At 43.3% G+C, this 19261-nt stretch overlaps 1 pseudogene, besides 1 other annotated feature; it reads right to left on the bottom strand.

The window, feature by feature from the left end:
• Window positions 4697–5307: an enhancer, noted in NCBI's record as "NANOG-H3K27ac hESC enhancer chrX:108590655-108591265 (GRCh37/hg19 assembly coordinates)". NCBI's record gives its function as "activates a minimal SCP1, AML or CMV promoter by ChIP-STARR-seq in naive H9 embryonic stem cells {active_cell/tissue: H9 hESC(naive)}" and the evidence as "EXISTENCE:reporter gene assay evidence [ECO:0000049][PMID:30033119]".
• GAPDHP77 (GAPDH pseudogene 77) lies at window positions 10036–10920 on the bottom strand (annotated as a pseudogene).

The following is a 19261-nucleotide window of genomic DNA, read 5'->3' as shown; positions in this document are numbered from 1 at the left end:
CAAGCTGTCAAAGATCCACTCTGGAGCTGCTGTCCATGTCTTCCTTTAAGCCTAGGCCATTGCATGCCAGCAGCTCAGACTGTTTCTTAAAGTTTCTCTAAATCTGCATGCTGCAGTTTAAGGGCGCTTTCTCTGGCACTGTTGTCAGTAGAAACGGAGAATCCATATTACCCATCCTGACTAACTGCCTCCACCCAGCTTGGCTTCTTCCCTAGACTACTGAGCTAACTGCCTGTCATTAACCTAGGAACTCTTCCCTTTTTGGAAAGCCTCCCTTGGTGAGTATTCCAGGCCTGACAGCAGCTGTATTCTTTCCAATCTCTAAGGCAGTCATTGAACATTTTACAATTTCTTTATGAAGTCTTAAGAGGAAGTGAATTTTCAGCTAGGTTGGGCCATCCACAGTCTCCCAGAGGACTGTACAGTGGCTTGAGAAAAACCTCATCCTGGCCTATTACAACAGTGCTGCCTTGCCAAAGTACACAGGGTCAGCCACTGCGCTCCGCTTTGAGCTGAGCCAGAGCAATGGAGGGCAGAGTGCAAGAATGGTAGGGCTTCCCTGACCTCACAAAGTCAGGTCTCACCAGACCTCAAGGCCAGTCAGCTCTGTGCCATGCAGGAGCTGTTGCAGCCAAGTTAGCACACTTATTTCCACCCAGCCGTGCTGAGTGCAGCACAGACTTCCAGGAACCGGCTACAATTTCTGATCCTAAAAGAGGTGTTGACAAGAGATAAAGAGAGAGAAAGTACAAATGAAAGAAGGAAGGAAGGAGGGAGGAGGTTGGGAGGAAGGAAGGAAAGAAGGGAGGAGGAATAAATAAAAGAAAGCAAACCTTGCATCTGAGTATTCCTGGGCCATGATAATGAGCTGTGTTGAGATCGTACTTGCACATAGCTAGACAACCAGAATGTGTGTGACTGATAAATTCAGAGCACTGCGATTATGGCAGGAACTTAAGAACCAGGAGGCCCTCCCTGCCCTGGTATGCCTCATTCTGCATCTAAACATACTCAAAAGGACTTTAGGACAATTCCAAGAAAGTGTAGCAGTTGTGAAGTAGTATAGTCTAAGTAGATTTATAGAAGTGCTTACGTGATTTTCCTCATGCAGCTTAAATGCTCCAGCCTGGAGATGGAGCACTAGATTTCTTATATCCCACTGTGTTACCTATTGGCCAAAACTGCTATCTGTCTCCACTTCCATGTCAGCAGTAGTCTCCTTCTTGCAGCAGCTTGTGGAGATCTGATACCTCATTGTGATTTCATGTGAAACTCCAGAACCAGTATCCATTACACTTAACACAGCAGTAGAGTCATTAAGGCCAACATTCTGAGAAACTATGTTGGTTCTGTTGTAACACACACACACACACACACACACACACACACACACACACACACAAAGCAGCAGATACATCCTCAATGAACAGAGAGTAAATAAATACACTCTCTGAAGATTTGAGGGCAAGGGTGCTAGAACAGATTTTTTTTCAAGACTCCTTATTATCCCCAAGATCCTGTAACTAGTACTGTCATTTTAAAACTATTTTATTTAGAAAACATTAAACTTGGCTCCCTTGATCTCTTGCCCCCAGTGATAAGGATATAAGTCTATCATTCAGCTTTCCTGTAATCTGTTTGGGAAGGGGGTGTGTATATGTGTGTGTGCGTGCATGCGTGTGTGTGTGTGTGTGTGTGTGTGTGTGTATTTCTTTCCAAAGGAAAAAAGATACCTAAAGACATATAGAGCTTCATCCAAAGGCAGTTTCTCCATCCATGCCCTCAGCCCACCTCATCCTGCCCACCAAGATAGGCTCAAACTCCAGGAATTCCTGACACGAGGATACCCATCAGCCCACACACGTAATTACTTCTGTTGCCTTGCATCCTTAACAAGCACCAACATATTTCAACAAAGCTGTCAGGGCTGAAACATGTGCCTAAAGCAGGGAGCAAAACATTCTAAGTGAAAGAGTAGGAGGCAATGAGGGTGGGCCACGTGGCTCCTGGATGAAAGTTGTTTTCCATCTGGGCCTCTAGAAGGGAGAACTTAGAGATGGTGAAATCCTAGGTTAAGAAGGAACTTTTAGAAACAGCTTAAATCACCCCAGACAGACGCCACAACATCCTAATTTAAAACATTTCTTGAGAAACTGCCTTAATTATTGTTTGTAAATGCTCCCTTTTGCCTGACTTTTAGTCAGTGTGCTGCTACTAGCTCTTACTTTTTGGTTTGCAAGTGATGCTGGTCGCAATGAGTGGGCAGTCTTAAGTGAGGTGCTATGGGGTATACAAGGGAGGAAAAAATAGATCTCACTTCCAAGATCTGGTGGCCCTCTCTAATAATGCTTTATAGAGAACCTGAATGCCATTTGTTTAGCTCAGAACTCCTGAGGGCATGACATAACATAGGTGGCTGTCCTAGACAGGTCAGGCTAAGAAATGTTAGCAAGGAAGCTCCATGAGTTATGTGACACTTGCCCAAAAAATGTCCAGAACCATATTTGCCCTCATTGTTTCTGAGCAATCTCACAGAAATCCTTGTCAGAGCCCTTTCTAATTTCCTGGGTGCTTTAGAGATTCATGGCACAACTAAAGCAAAACCAAACCAGGAACCAGCTTCTCTCTCCAGCTTACCTGCAGGGAAGTTATTTCCAGTTCTTGGCATCTACCTTGGGGCTCATTCTCTACCAATGCTCTGAATCTTTGAGAAAAAATTCATTCCCGTTTGATTGATAGGTCATGTGTTTCCACTTAGCATGTGAGAGTTAACCTATTATATATATACTATATTATTGGCGGTGGGAGCTGTGTGGATTGGGATGTGTTAGTGACATTTTAGAGAAGAAGTGACAGAGGGATTTGATTGTCTAGTAGCATCCAAGCTAGGACACAGTGTGAAAAAATAGAGTACAAATATATAGACACACACAGACATGCTTCCATAAGTTTCTTGGCTCTTCTAACCTCCCCTCCTGAGTCCACCTCCCCTGCTACATAAACAACTACAGCAGTAAAACTTGGACTCCTAGATGTACCCAAACAAGAACTATAAGGCGGGGCCAGGCACAGTGGCTTACCCCTGTAATCCCAGCACTTTGGGATGCCGAGGCAGGTGGATCACTTGAGGTCAGGAGTTCGATACCTGGCCTGGCCCACATGGTGAAACCCCATCTCTACTAAAAATACAAAAACATTTAGCTGGGCATGGTGGTGTGCACCTGTAATCCCAGCCATTCAGGAGGCTGAGGCAGGATAATCGCTTGAACCCAGGAGGCAGAGGTTGCAGTGAGCCGAGATCGCACCACTGCACTCCAGCCTGGGTGACAGAGTCAGACTCCATCTCAGAAAAAAAAAAAAGAAAAGAAAAGAAAAAAAAATAACTATAAGGCTCAAATCTGGCATTAGCAAACATCAGGATGGAAGAAGTTAGATTCTTCTTAACTCCTCCTTCTCCAACAGATATTCCTCCAGCAAGTTAACCAACCCTCGATAAAAATGGGGAGGGAAGTTACATTCCTCTTCTTAATGTCTTTCTGCCTGCCCTTTATCCAACTTGCTTGGCCTCACTGCCTAACCCTGCTAAAGCACTCACCTATCCTCCACTGCCTTATCTCTGGTGGATTCTTCAGGGGCTGGCCTTTCCTATAGTTCACATGTCCAGCATAACTGTGCAGATCAGAGTGGCAACCTGGATGGAAAAGGTCAGCAAAAGATGAGAGGACCATTTGTGCTACTGTGCCTTGTCCAAACTCTTCTCTGTGGTCAGTCACCTGCAAGGCCTTAATTGAGTCAGGCACTATAGAATATGCAAAAACGAAGAGATAGATTCTGATCTCAAGAGTCTTGCAATATAGCTGAGAAGGAAGAAGGTAACACACCCACTGAAGACTGAAGAATTGGATATAATAGTGGAAAGATGTACTCAATGGTGAGTAATCAATTCTTTTGTTGTTGTTGTTGTTGTTGTTGTTGTTGTTGTTTTTGAGACGGAGTCTCGCTCTGTCGCCCAGGCTGGAGTGCAGTGGTACGATCTCTGCTCACTGCAAGCTCCGCCTCCCGGGTTCACGCCATTCTCCTGCCTCAGCCTCCTGAGTAGCTGGGACTACAGGCGCCCGCCGCCATGCCCGGCTAATTTTTTGTATTTTTAGTACAGACGGGGTTTCACCATGTTAGCCAGGATGGTCTCGATCTCCTGACCTTGTGATCCTCCTGCCTCGGCCTCCCAAAGTGCTGGGATTACAGGTGTGAGCCACCGCACCCGGCAAGTAATCATATTCTTGTTGAAAGAGCTGAGAAGCCATGAGGGTTTCCTGTCAGCCAGAGTAGTCTGGAAACTTTATATAGGAGGTAGGAGTTGATCTAGTGTCCAGTGGGTCTCACTATAGAACCCCATACTGGGATGGGCTTGCAATCAGCTCTGCCTGAGTTTGTTGAGGCTTGGAAATGGGACAGAGGTGAAGCCTGGGGAAGCTACAACCTAGTACTCTTTTAACTACAGTCCTCCTATGGTTCTATTCCCCAGTTTGGCCTTCTATACCTCTACCTACCCCTCCACGCGTCATCTTGAGTTTTGAATTTTCACCAAGCAGCAGCTGGAAGCCAGGCATTGGCTGCTGGAACAATATTGACTGCATTTCAAGTTACTTTCAGACCTTCAGAAGGGGAAATTTGCTTTTCTCTTGCACATTCTAATTAAGACCATGTGCTCTGGGACCCATGGAAACATAGTTCTCTAATAGTTCATCTTGGGGATTCAATAACACACACAAACTCGAGTTGCTGTGAAAGGCATGCTGGCTGCTTGAACTCAAAAGCAATGATCCTGAGTTCCCAAGGGGATTGCTTGTCCTCAAAAGAGAGAAGCTGTTGGGCCTCTGGAAATGGAATAGAATTCTGACATTTTTCTCATTCCTTCCTCCACTGAGAAACATAAGAGCTTCTTGTATCAAGAGGAAACTAGCACGGGAAGTGTGACTCACTTTACAAAGCCTTTGAAGCAGGCATTTCTGCAAACTACTGCTGGCCTGGAGAAAAAAAAAACCCACTGTGGTGGGAAGCCAGGGACCTGCGTTCTAGCTCCAGTAGGGCCATTAACTTCTTTTGTGATCTGGGAGCAGGCTATTACTCTTCCTGCTTCTCCCTTGCACTCATCCTAGCTTTCAATTTTTAAAATGACAGTATGGGATCTCCTTGAGGGCTTTGGCAGCTCTGAAATTCTGTGGTTCAAAGTCTAGCTCTTAAAATGGAAGCCAACACTTGAGAGAAAAAAGCCTGTGGTAGAACTCACTCTAGGGATAATGTCATGCACAGGAGTGGCAGATATTGCCTCTCTTGGGTGACTTGAGGTATTCTGGCCTTGCCTTAAAATATCTCCTCCCTGATGTGGCAAGCTCTTCTGCTTGTCTGGTTTCCTTTTTTTTTTCTCTTTTTTTTGGATTCATCACAGCCCTGATGCCCTCTTCTAAAATGTATATGGTCTTTGTAACCTCTTAACATGAATGCACTAACTGGACACTCTTCTCCTTAACTGGGGAATAGGGAGATAAAGGGAAGGTGGTGATAGCAATTGAGGAGGCAGATATGAAAAAGTGGTTGCCAAAGACACATGTTTCCATGCCTTCACAAGTTTGCTCAGGCACAGCCCTGACTCTCCTACAATATTATTGTTTCCAGGGTGGGTAGAGAAGCAGAGAGTTCTTGTTTCATCCTTATAATCTATTTGGAAAGTCAGTTTTCAGAGGTGTTGGCCTATCCCCAGTTGGATTTGTCTGGAAAGAAGTACCAAGTCACAGGACATTTCTACTGACATCAAGCAATGATATAATTGTGTCCTCTGTGCAGGATATAGCAAAACCTTTAGAGACGAATAACCCATAGTCCTCTGCTCATGTATTTCCATTATTTAGGTTCCTTTGTCATCATAAAGCTTCCCTGTTAGCTGAAGTTTTTAATGCTGTGATCTGCATAAGACATAGTGTTTAATCTTAGTTCACCCCTTACATAGTCTTGTGACCTTGTATAGTAGTCATTTAATGCTTACACTAGGTTATTAACCACACAAGAAAACTGGTCTTCATGGCTCACAGTCATACTTGGAAGGGAGAAGAAGAGAGGGGAAGAAAGGGGAAAGTAGGGTGGGGAAAGGAATGAAGAAGAGAGGAAGTGGTTTTGTTTTCTTTTAAAAAAATTAAAGACTCTATTACTGAGCTGGATCACCCACCTTATTCTATAGACTTGGCTCCGAATGACTTTTAGCTGTTTGCTAAAATCAAATCCATCCTCAAGGGACAAAGATTTATCACCACTGTGGTTATTCAAAAGGATGTGCCCCAGGCTCTGAACTCAATTACTAAAGAGGAGTTCCAAAAAATATTTTGAGCAATGGCAACATCATTGCAATAAATGTACAGGGATTTAGCCTCCCAAGGTACTAGTCTGAAGGGGACACCACTCTTTAGGATGTGCACATCCTAATATGATTGCAAAAAAGCAGCAGTCACATTACATTATAGTCACTCTTCATATTACTGCCCATTTCCTCTCCTTTCATTCTCACTTGGGACTGGCAACAGCTGCTTGCCAAGTTTTGTAGGGAGCAGCTGAAAGCCATGTGGAATTTTACCCTGGCTTGTTCTGTACCTATGGCTGTTAGTTTTCCTTCACTGTACATGCAATAAAACAGTATCATAGGAAACAGGCACTTGCATAATGCTTTATGTTTTTCCAGGCAGTTTCACAGATGGCAAGATTTCAAGACAGAATATACAGATGGTAATCTCCTGGAGGGAAGGAACCTCTTATTTGTTTTTGAATACCCACACCCCAGAATAATGTCTTTCCCATAACACATAAATGTTCATGGAATGAGATAGCCATCCTCTCATTTTGTCCTGGAAACATTCTCATAAAGAAGGCAGGCTAGGTATTTTCAAATAATTATTCCTATTGTACAAGGACCCAGAACAGAAAGAGTACAAAGTGTATGAGTGGAAGCAGTCTACTTTAATGCTTAGGATGGTGGGCTTTGGAAACAATTCTGGATTCTAATTTGGACTTTGCCACTGATTAGCCATTTACTTTGAGTCAATGACTAAACTTTAGTTTTCTCAACTAGAAAACAGTATCCTCCTCAAGTGAGGATAATAGTAGTCCCTACCTCCCAGGGTTGTGAGGATGAAATGTGAACATCTATGTAAGGCACTGAGCATTGGGCTGACACAGTAGTCAATGGTGGCTACTTTTACTTCGTAAATTGTTTAGTTTAAACAACTAGCTGATGGCAGAGCCCAAGCTGGATTCCAGAGCTGTCTAACTTAGTGTCAAGTTCTTTGCATAAGACAGGGTATAAAAATGAGTTTGAGATAAAGTGATGTAGACCCTATAGGCTTGGATAACAGATGAAGAATGGAAGCTCCTGGATGTCCTTTGTGCTTCTTACACAAGGGATTTTCTGAAAAGGATGTTCAAGAACATATGATCTAATCCCTGTATCTTTCAGAAATATTATCCCAGGCTTGAAGGGAGTCCTTTTGTGACTCAGTCATCCTATCCATGGAAGTCAGACCCTCTGTCAGCCCCTAACCTCCCTGAGAAGTGAGGTAGCATATATATATATATATATATATATATATATATATATACACACTGTACACACACACACACACACACACACACACACACACTCATTTAAGTAGCTGAAACAACAGCCAAAAAGAACAGAGTGGCCACTGACTACAAGATAAAAACTGAGGCAGCATCTCCTTGCATTCCAACTTCCAGTCCCGTAGAATGGAGCTAAACAGAGGCTTACATTGGCCTGTTTCCTGATTTCAGGAACATAAATCCAATCAACTGAAATGCCTTGTGTTTATACTGGCTACCCAAGGCCCCTCACGACTTTACACAGGAAATCATTAAAATTCCTTATATTCTCCCCAGGCAAAGGCATACACAGTCAAGCATCTCCTTCTTTCTATCCAGAGGAGGTCTAGGTATCTAGAAGCTTGAAATCCAGGAAAGACGCCATCTTTTTGTTTGGAAACCTACAGATTATTCCATCTGGGAGTTTTGAGTGACAGTTTTAGTGAAATGCCCAAGGATTCTTGGTAGACTCAGAAGTGGTCACCTATTTCTGCCATTGTACCTGAGAAATCCCATATTCTTCCCTCACAGGGCCTACTTAACCTGATTACTCTTTTCTTCCCTCCTGTAATCACACCTGAAAAAACAGCATGCCTACTCAGGGTGAGAAATACAGCCCTAGAGAGTCACAAACCCTTCAATCTTCAGTGATTAGGAGACCAAAGGACCAGATCTCTACTTCCATTTGGCCCTTCGAAAGTAAAAGCCTGAAACATCCTGTTTTGCCACATTTGTTTCTTTACCATACAGCTGGAGCTGCTCCAGTGGGCAGAAGGATGAGTTCAAAAATACCCATCTTAAACTTTACATGTGGCTTGTCATCAACTTACAAGGAGAACTGAAGCTAAAGCTTAGCATTCTTGTCATTCCTTCTTTTCTAATTAACAACATATGATCTCCACTTTCTTTCCTCAGTTTCTTCTCAAGAGCTCCCTGCTTTTCACAGTGCTAAAAGCCCAAAGATACTTGAAATTCAAGCCAGCACAAGCCCATGGCTTACCCAGGTCTTATCTTCTTCCCTCAGTGGAATCCCAATCACTTATTTCTATGTGCCAAGCTGCTTCCTGCTCAACAACTATCCAGTTTCATCCTAAAGAGACGAGGCACTTGTGGTTCTGTGCCTTCTTGGGTCTGACAGATGCTCCCTTACGCTGAGTACAGAAAGCAAGCAAGGAAGGAAGCAAGCTCTGAGCCAGCCCTTCCCAGAGTTGGGAGTTTTGACCTCATCAGCCCAAACTTAACATTTTCTGGCTCTCTCCCAAATCTTCCAGTGCTTCCACTTACTCCCTCCTTGTTCTAGCTGTATATTTTTAAAGAGCATTTCCCCCAATACCCTAAAAGAGAGGAAGTAATGACTTAATCCAAAATAATGGATCCTGATGGTATAATTCAATGGTGAGCTCTTTGGGAATTTAAGGCTCTTCCTCATGACCCACAGAACACATGGCCAGGGTGACTAACTCCAAATTTTCTATATGAGACCAACATTTCCTCAGGCTCCCATTTTATACTCACAGAATCTCCTAAACTCCAACTTGGTTAATAGTTTCTGTGCTTGGCTTAAGACCTCCCACAGAGCCAATGCCTGGCAAGGGGCTTAGTAACAGTTATTCTTAGGTCATACCAAGATCTGTTCTTAATGGATGCACAAATAAAAACATGGGCAGAAATATGACCTGAAGGGTCCCTGACTTTGAGACCACCCTTGGAGCTCACAGGAAGCCCCCTGCTTCTATATACACACATTTATGACAAAGAGCCTCCCGTATCACATAGAAGCCCCATATGGGAAATATCCTTCCTCCTCCTAAATGGGCCAACTGCCTCTATTAAGTAGGGTAGTGTAACTAGGTTTTGTACCTTGTGACATATATCATGGTGTCCTAGGTTAAAAGGTGACACTCACAATGGTGTCACAGCTGCAGGGTGCTAGTGGCTAAAGAGACATGTACAACCAGTTTTAACCCCTATCAGTAGAGCAGTAGAGAAAAAAAATACAGCACAGAATGACACAGAAAAGGAAAGGAGAAAGTGTTTCAATGTATTCCATAGGGCCTAAACAGTCATGCCTAGAAACCATGAGTGGAGGCCCATTTCTACACCATGTCTAAATGGTGTCTGCACTGAAGCCTTTATTTGCAATGCCTCATACTCTAACTGGCAATGGACTCCTAAAATTTTTGCTCATGGAAAACCATATCATTTTTTTTTTCCTGGTGGCTATAGTCAACTATATTGATGGCACTTTTCTTCTACGGGGATTGAGATGGGAATCATGTTGAGAACAGTGATTCTCATTGTGTTGATGGGTAGATTTGAGATAGAACTCCCCAGAGCTGAAGGCCTCTGTCTTCCTCTTGTGCTGTCATTGGGAACACTGGTCTGGGGCCCTTACTCCCTAGTGGTCACATGAACCATGAAGTCTGCAATTTGGTTCCTACAGCCAAACTCATTGTCCTACCAGTAAATGAACTTAACAATATGGTCATGGAGATCAATGCTAGCCCAAGCATCAAAGATGGAGGAATGGGTGTCACTGTTAAAGTCACAGGAGATAACTTGGTCTTTAGCGTAGGCCAGGGTGTCCTCTAAGGGGCCTTCCAATGCCTGACTCAACACTTTATTGATGTCGCTATACTTGTATACTTTCTCCAGAATGCAGGTCAGGTCCATGACAGACATGTTGGAGATACAGAAAACCATATCAATGAGCTTCCCATTCAGCACAGGAATGACCTTCCCCATAGCCTTGGTGGTGTCAGTGTTTGCAGCAATGATAATCTGGACAGCACCAACTGTGGTATGACTAACATACCACAGTTTCCTATTAAGAAACCATCTGGATTTTTCACGATGGAAGTGATGGTGTGAACTGTGATAATGAGTATCTCCATGATCCAAAGTTGTCATGGATGGATAACCTTGATTAGGGGGCCAGAGAGTTTGCAGTACAAGAGGAGAAGTGGTCATACTTCTCATGGTTCACTTCCATCACAAACGTTGGGCCATCTGCAGAATAGGAAGAGATAATGTGCCTCCATCTCTAACATGAACTCTAGCCTTCTCCAAGAGAAGAAAGAGACTAGTGGGCTACATAACATATTAGATGCTAGCATTATCTTACTTGATATTGGCAATATCTCACTCCTAGAAAGTGGAAATGGGTTTCCTAATATAGACAAGTTTCCATTTCTTAGCCTTGACAATAATGTTGAACTTTTCATGGGAGGAATCATATATGTAGATGACATAGTTGAGGTAGTCTTCAGCAGTGAAACACAATTGACTCATACCATTTTTTTAAGATGGGATATGGCTCTGTGGCCCAGGCTGGAGTGCAGTGGTGCGATCATAGCTCACTGTAGCCTCAAACTCCTGGGCTCAAGTGATCCTCCCACCTCAGCTTCCCAAGTAGCTTGGATTACAGGCATGTGCCACCAGGTCTAGCTAATTTAAATTTTAATTGTTTTAGAGAGGGTCTCACTATGTTGCCCAGGCTGGTCTTGAACTCCTGGGCTTAAGCAATCCTCTTGCCTCAGCATCCCAAATTGCTGGGATTACAGGCACAAGCCACCATGCCCGCCTAACTCATACCATTTTTAATGGCCAGATAGGTTGAGCTATGAGACGTCATTACTCCCCAGCAGTCTTCAAATTGTATTCATTAAACAAAGTTGTATTTCAAGCTATCATATCTCTACTTCTGTGTCCAAGCTCCTTGGCCTAGAAAAAAGATAATCATACAACCACACTGGAGTTCTTACAAAAGCTTAGTTTTCAGCAAGCAGAACCACAACACTACCCAGAAATACCTCTGTATTGCCTCAGTCAGTAACATTCCCCATTCTTTTAATGCCTATTCCAAAATTTATAACCTGTCTTTTCAGACTCCTTCTCCACCTCATCTACTCCTTACTCTTACAGCAAGTTGCCTTAATTTTTCTATCATCAAGTAAATAGAGGCCATATGGGAGGGGGGCACCTCAAAATTTCTACCTTGACCTGGTGAAAAATATACTTATGCCTATACCTACCATTGTCTTCTTCCCTTCTACTTGTTCTCTAGAACTCCCCACTTCATATATACTTTGAGAGATCTTTCTTCACTAATTTTCCTTTTGCTCAACTCTGACTTTAATCTTTTCCAATATTCTAGTTGGGTTCCCTCTCAGAATTTAAAAATCATCAAGTGTTATTCCAATAACAACAAATAAACAAACAAACAAACAAAAAAACTCCTCAAGAAACAACTCCTTCAACTATCATTCTATCCATTTCACTGTCTCACTGCAGTGAGAACTCACTCCTGTAACCTATTACAACCTGTTGCAATCTGGCTGAACATACTTTAAGATTACCTCTTAATAATTGTGAAATTGAATGTACATATCTCAATTATTACCTAATTTTATTTTCTGTGTCATTTGCTACTATTGGTCACTGCCTTCTACTTAAAATTTTTTTACTTTTTTGACTTCCATGGCAGTATTCTTTCCTGTTTTCCCCACCCCCATCTTTCAGATTGCACTTTTTCAGTCTTCTCTGCAGGCTCCTTATCCTCTATCAAACCATTGAATATCATTGTTTCCCTGGGTTCTATTCTTAGCACTTTTCTTTTTTTTTTAAATTTTTAATTCTTGTGGGTACATAGTAGTTGTATATATTTACAGGGTACATGAGATATTTTGATACAGGAACACAATGCATAATCACATCAGGATAAATGAGACATCCATTACCTAAAGCATTTATTATTTCTTTGTGTTGCAAACAATCCAATTATACTCTTTTAGTTATATTTAAATGTACAATTAAATTGTTATTGACAATAGCCACCCTGTTGTGCTATCAAATACCAGATCTTATTCACTCTATTTTTTGTACCCAGTAACCATCTCCACTTCCCTTCCCAACTCCCAACCCTGCCATTACCCTTCTCAGCCTCTTATAATCATCCTATTCTCTATCTGTATGCCATCAACTATTTTAATTTTTAGCTTCTACAAACTAGTGAGAACATGCAAAATTCGTCATTCTGTGCCTGGATTATTTAACTTAACATAACGATCTCCAGTTCCATCACCACTAATGTGAATGACAGAATCTCATTACTTTTGATGGCTGAATAGTACTCCATTGTGTGCATGTACCTCATTTTCTTTATCCATTCATCTGTTGATGGACACTTAGGTTACTCCCAAATCTTAGCTATTATAAACAGTGCTGCAACAAACATTGGACTGCAGATATCTCTTCAATATATTGATTTATTTTATTTTGAGAGTATGCCCAGCAGTGGGATTTCTGGATCATATGGTAGCTCAAGTTTTAGGTTTTTTTGAGGAAGTTCCAAACTGTTCTCCATAGTGGTTGTACTAATTTACATTCCCATCAATAGTGTATGAGGGTTCCCTTTTCTCCACGTGTTCTCCAGCATTTGTCATTGCCTGTCATTTGCATAAAAGCCATTTTCACTGGAGTGAGATAATCTCTCATTGTAGTTTTGATTTGCATTTCTCTGATGATCAATGAGCACTTTTTCAGCACCTCCCAGGGGGAGGGGCAGGCTGCCGTCTTTGCTGTGTTGAAGCCTTAGCTGTTATTGCCTTCAGACTTTACAGAGTCTGTGGCAAATGGGGGCTGGAGTGCACCCCCAGAATAGCACAGCTGTTCTACAAAAAAGTGGCCCAACTGCTTTTTTTGCAGTTCTCTGATCCTGTTCTTCCTCATTGAGCAGGGCCTCCCAACCTGGGTCTCCAGCCTCCTCCTGCTGGTGTGTTCAGGCTGGCAACATGTATTGGAAATTCTGAGGTGACTGGGGTCTAGAGCAGGTGCCCAGCATACTGCAGCTTATAGAAAAGTGTTCAGACTCTTTGTTAAATGGGTACCTGATCCTGTATCTCCTCACTGGATGAGTCATCCTTGCTTGGGTCTCCAGCAATACCCCACCAGCCACAAGCCAGGGATATCAAGCTAGCAGCAGTTCTGTAACTGTCTGCAATAGAGCTTACAGTTGGAGAAGTGTGTTGCTATCTTTTCTGTCTTGCAGCCCTCATGCTTGATGTCTCCAGGCCCTGGAGAGTCCACAGGGACCAGGGGCTCATCCAGACACCCCAAACAGAGCATCTACCTCATGGAAAAGTGGCCAGGTTGTTCTCCACACAGGTCCCAGTTCTCACTTCTTCTCACTGGGCAGGGTTGCCTGACCTGGGACTCCAGCACAACCCCCCTGCCCTTGCTTGACCACTTCAATCAGAGGTAGCCCAGCAGTTCTCCATGGATGAAATCCCAGAGTCAACCTGTAACCCCTCTGTGATGGCAGTTGCAATGGTACCACCATAACAGTCCTCACACTGGGGAGGGAACAAAGTGCCCCATCACTGTGGTGGCACTTCCAGCACACTGTAGCCACCAAACAGAGAGGAGTCCAGCCCTTCTTCTCTGAGAATTCCCACCCCCACTCCTCACCAGGCTGGGACACTGGCTTATGATCATAGAACAATCTCCTCCACCCACAGCTAAGCATACCCACTGGTAGTGGCCTGGAGTCTCGCTGGGGAGAGGCTCACAGAGATATGTAACAGCCCCTCTGCCACTGCCACAGCAATGATTCTATTTCTGCTGTCCCTCGTTGGGGGAAGAAACAAAGAACCTGTGAGCTACACTCAAGATTACAGCATGCCATAGTCGCCATATGGAAAGGAGACCAATCCCTCCTCCCAGTGAGCCCTTCACTCCCTGCTTCCCAACAAGTGGAACCCCCAGCTCACACCAGCAGTGCAGCCACCCTATCCTACTGATTGAACACTCCCAGTAACATCAGCTCTGTGTTTCTTGGAGGTGGATGCCCCCAGGGGCAACAGAAAGCCCCTCTGCCACTGTCTCTGCAGCGGTACTATCTCTGCTACCTTTGGGTTAACAAAGGAGCAAACCCCCTAAGTGCTTTATCCACACCTCCAACAACTTGCAGTTGACTCAAGGAGAGGAGGCCAGTTTGTTTCCCATTGGTTCCACCCACCCCTCCATCACCAGGCAGGGAGCCCCCCAGCTTGGGCCCACAGCACAGTTCCCCCATACCAGGCTGATTGCACTGAGTGGTTACTGACTGCTTCCCTCTGGGGTAGATCCTCCAGGAAACAAGTAAAAGACCCTGGTCCACAACCACTGTGAAGGTCCCTTCCTCTGCTGCCTCCAAGTTGGGGAGGGAATATAAACTTTGAGATTACCCCAGAGCAGCAGTCAGGAGCCTGGTACTTCCAAGCTGTAATATAGAGGCAGCACTCAAATAGGAGAGGAGCCCACACTTTCAGAGTATTAAGAGGGAGCACAGCTGCAAACATGAGGAAATATTTGTGAGTCACACAACTGAGCAAGAGCCTACTTACTGAACACTATACCTAGTGCTACCTACCACATCACACCCCAAAGCTTCAACAACAAAAATATATTCTCCTGTGAAACCAAAGACAAGAAGTGAGCCACAAATAACGACCCTGTACAAAGCCTTGACTCTGTGAAAACGTGCAAAGAAGAAGTCTTTTGATTGTACTCAATCTACACTGCAGTTAAAGGAGCACCCACACAGAGAAATGAGAAAGAACCAATGCAATAACTCCAGCAACTCAAATGGCCAGAGAGACTTATGTCTTCCAAACGATCAAACTAGTTCTCCAACAAGTTTTCTTACCCAACTGAGTTGGCTGAAATGACACAGAATTCAGAATATGGATAGAAATGAAAATCATCAAGATTCAGGAGAATGGCAAAACCCAATCCAAGGAAACTAAGAATCACAATAAAATGATACAAGAGCTGAAGGACAAAATAGAGAGAGAAAAAAAAAGAACCTAATGGATCTGACAGAGCTGAAAAACACCCTAAGATAATTTCACAATGCAATTTCAAGTATTAACAGCAGAATAGACCAAGCTGAGGAAAGAATTTCAGAACTTGAAGACTAGCTCTCTCAAATAAGACAGTCAGACAAAAATAAAGTAAAAAGAATAAAAATGAATGAAGAAAATCTGAGAAATATGAAATTATGTAAAGAGGCCAAATCTACCAATCATTGGCATCACTGAAAGAGAAGGGGAGAAAAGAAACAACTTGGTAAACATATTTCAGTATATTGTCCATGAAAATATCTCCAACCTCACTAGAGAGGCCAACAGTCAAATTTAGGAAATACAGAGAACCCCTGAAAGATTCTACACAAGAGGATTATCCCGAAGATACATAACCATCAGATTCTCCAAGGTTGAAGTAAAAGAAAATATATTAAAGGCATCCAAAGTAAAAGGCCAGGCCAACTGTGAAGGGAAGCCTATCAGAGTAACAGTGGACCTTTCAGCAGAAACCCGACAAGCCAGAAGAGATTGGTGGCCTATATTCAACATTCTTAAAGAAAAGAAATTTCAAATAAGAATTTCATATCCAGCCAAACTAAGCTTCATAAGCAAAGGAGAAATAAGATCCTTGTCAGACCAGCAAATGCTGAGGGAATTCATTACCACCAGACCTACCTTACCAAAAGTTTTTGAAGGAAGCATTAAATATGGAAAGGGAGGACCATTATCAGCCAACTCAAAAACACCCTAAAGTACATAGACTAGTGACACTATAAAGCAACCACAGAAACAAGTTTGTGTAACAGCTAGCTAATGTCATGATGGCAGGATTAAATAGACTTATATCAATACTAATTTCAAACGTAAACAGGCTAAATGCCCCAATTAAAAGGCACAGAGTGGCAAGGTGGATAAAGAACCAAGACCCATTGGTATGCTGTCATCAAGAGACCCATCTCACATGCAATGACACCAATGGCTCAAAACAATGAGAGGAAGAAAAATCCACCAAGCAAATGGAAAACAGAAAAAAGCAGAGGTTGTAATCCTAATTTCAGATAAAACATACTTTAAACCAACAAAGGTACAAAAAGACAATGAAGGGCATTACACAAAGGGCTCAGCTCAACAAAAAGAACTAACAATGCTAAATATATAGGCACTCAAAACAGGAGAACCCAGATTTATTAAACAAGTTTTTAGAGACCACCAAAAAGACTTAGACAGAAAAAACAAGGCTTGCAATCCTAATTTCAGTCAAAACAGACTTTAGAGGGAGGTTCCAAGATGGCCGAATAGGAACAGCTCCAGTCTACAGCTCCCAGTATGAGTGATGGAGAAGATGGGTGATTTCTGCATTTCCAACTGAGGTACAAGGCTCATCTCACTGGGGCTTGTCAGACAGTGGGTGCAGGACAGTGGGTGCAGCCCACCGAGTGACAGCCGAAGCACAGCGAGGCATCGCCTCACCCAGGGAGCACAAGGGGTCAGGGAATTCCCTTTCCTAGGCAAGGAAAGCAGTGACAGATGGCACCTGGAAAACTGGGTCACTCCCGCCCTAATACTGGGCTTTTCCAATGGTCTTAGCAAATGGCACAGCAGGAGATTATATCCCGTACCTCACTCGGAGGGTCCCACATCCACGGAGCCTCACTCATTGCTAGCACAGCAGTCTAAGATCAAACTGCAAGGTGGCAGTGAGGCTGGGGGAGGAGTGCCTGCCATTGCTGAGGCTTGAGGAGGTAAACAAAGCAGCCAGGAAACTCAAACTGGGTGGAGCCCACTGCAGCTCAAGGAGGCCTGCCTGCCTCCGTAGGACTCCACCTCTGGGGGCAGGGCATAGCTGAACAAAAGGCAGCAGAAAACTCTGCAGACTTAAATGTCCCTGTCTGACAGCTTTGAAGAGAGTAGTAGTTCTCCCAGCATTGAGTTTGAGATCTGAGAACGGACAGACTGCCTCCTCAAGTGGGTCCCTGAACCCTGAGTAGCCTAACTGGGAGGCAGCCCCTGTAGGGGCCGACTGACACCTCACACTGCTGGGTGCCCCCCTGAGATGAAGCTTCCAGAGGAACAATCAGGCAGCAACATTTGCTGTTCTGCAATAGTCGCTGTTCTGCAGCCTCCGCTGGTGATACCCAGGGAAACAGGGTCTGGAGTGGACCTCCAGCAAACTCCAACAGACCTACAGCTGAGGTTCCTGACCGTTAGAAGGAAAACTAACAAACAGAAAGGACAACCACACCAAAACCCCATCTGTACATCACCATCATCAAAAAACCAAAGGTAGATAAAACCACAAAGATGGGGAGAAACCAGAGCAGAAAAGCTGAAAATTCTAAAAATCAGAGTGCCTCTTCTCCTCTGAAGGAATGCAGCTCCTTGCCAGCAATGGAATAAAGCTGGATGGAGAATGACTTTGACGAGTTGACAGAAGAAGGCTTCAGATGATCAAACTTCTCTGAGCTAAAGGAGGATGTTCAAACCCATCACAAAGAAGCTAAAAACCTTGAAAAAAGATGAGATGAATGGCTAACTAGAATAACAAGTGTAGAGAAGTCCTTAAATGACCTGATGGAGCTGAAAACCATGGCATGAGAACTACATGACACATGCACAAGCTTCAGTAGCTGATTTGATCAACTGGAAGAAAGGGTATCAGTGATTGAAGATCAAATGAATGAAATGAAGTGAGAAGAAAAGTTTAGAGAAAAAAGAGTAAAAAGAAATGAACAAAGCCTCCAAGAAACATGGGACCATGTGAAAAGACCAAATCTACATCTGATTGGTGCACCTGACAGTGAAGGGAAGAATGGAACCAAGTAGGAAAATACTCTTCAGGATATTATCCAAGAGAACTTCCCTAATCTAGCAAGGCAGGCCAACATTCAAATTCAGGAAATACAGAGAATGCCACAGAGATACTCCTTGAGAAGAGCAACTGCAAGACACATAATTGTCAGATTCACCAAAGTTGAAATGAAGGAAAAAATATTAAGGGCAGCAAGAGAGAAAGGTCGGGTTACCCACAAAGGGAAGCCCATCAGACTAACAGCGGATCTCTTGGCAGAAACTCTACAAGCCAGAAGGCAGTGGGGGCCAATATTCAACATTCTTAAAGAAAAGAATTTTCAACACAGAATTTCATATCCAGCCAAACTAAACTTCATAAATGAAGGAGAAATAAAATCCTTCACAGACAGGTGAATGCTGATAGATTTTGTCACCACCAGGCCTGCCTTAAAAGAGCTCCTGAAGGAAGCCTGAAACATGGAAAGGAGAAACCGGTACCAGCCACTGCAAAAGTATGCCAAATTGTAAAGACCATCAATGCTAGGAAGAAACTGCATCAACTAACGAGCAAAATAAACAGCTAACATCATAACGACAGGATCAAATTCACAAATAACAACATTAATCTAAAATGTAAATGGCTAAATGCTCCAATTAAAAGACACAGACTGGCAAATAGGATAAGCAGTCAAGACCCATCAGTATGCTGTATTCAGGAGACCCATCTCACATGCAGAGACACACATAGGCTCAAAATAAAGGGACAGATGAAGATCTACCAAGCAAATGGAAAACAAAAAAAGCAGGGGTTGCAATCCTAGTCTCTGATAAAACAGGCTTTAAACCAACAAAGATCAAAAGAGACAAAGAAGGCCATTACATAATGGTAAAGGGATCAATTCAACAAGAAGAGCTAACTATCCTAAATATATATGCACCCAACACAGGAGCACCCAGATTCATAAAGCAAGTCCTTAGAG

Source organism: Homo sapiens, chromosome X (genome assembly GCF_000001405.40).
Source record: "Homo sapiens chromosome X, GRCh38.p14 Primary Assembly".
NCBI lineage: Eukaryota > Metazoa > Chordata > Mammalia > Primates > Hominidae > Homo > Homo sapiens.
Note: the sequence above shows the minus strand (reverse complement) of the source record. Positions and strands in the feature narration are given on the sequence as shown.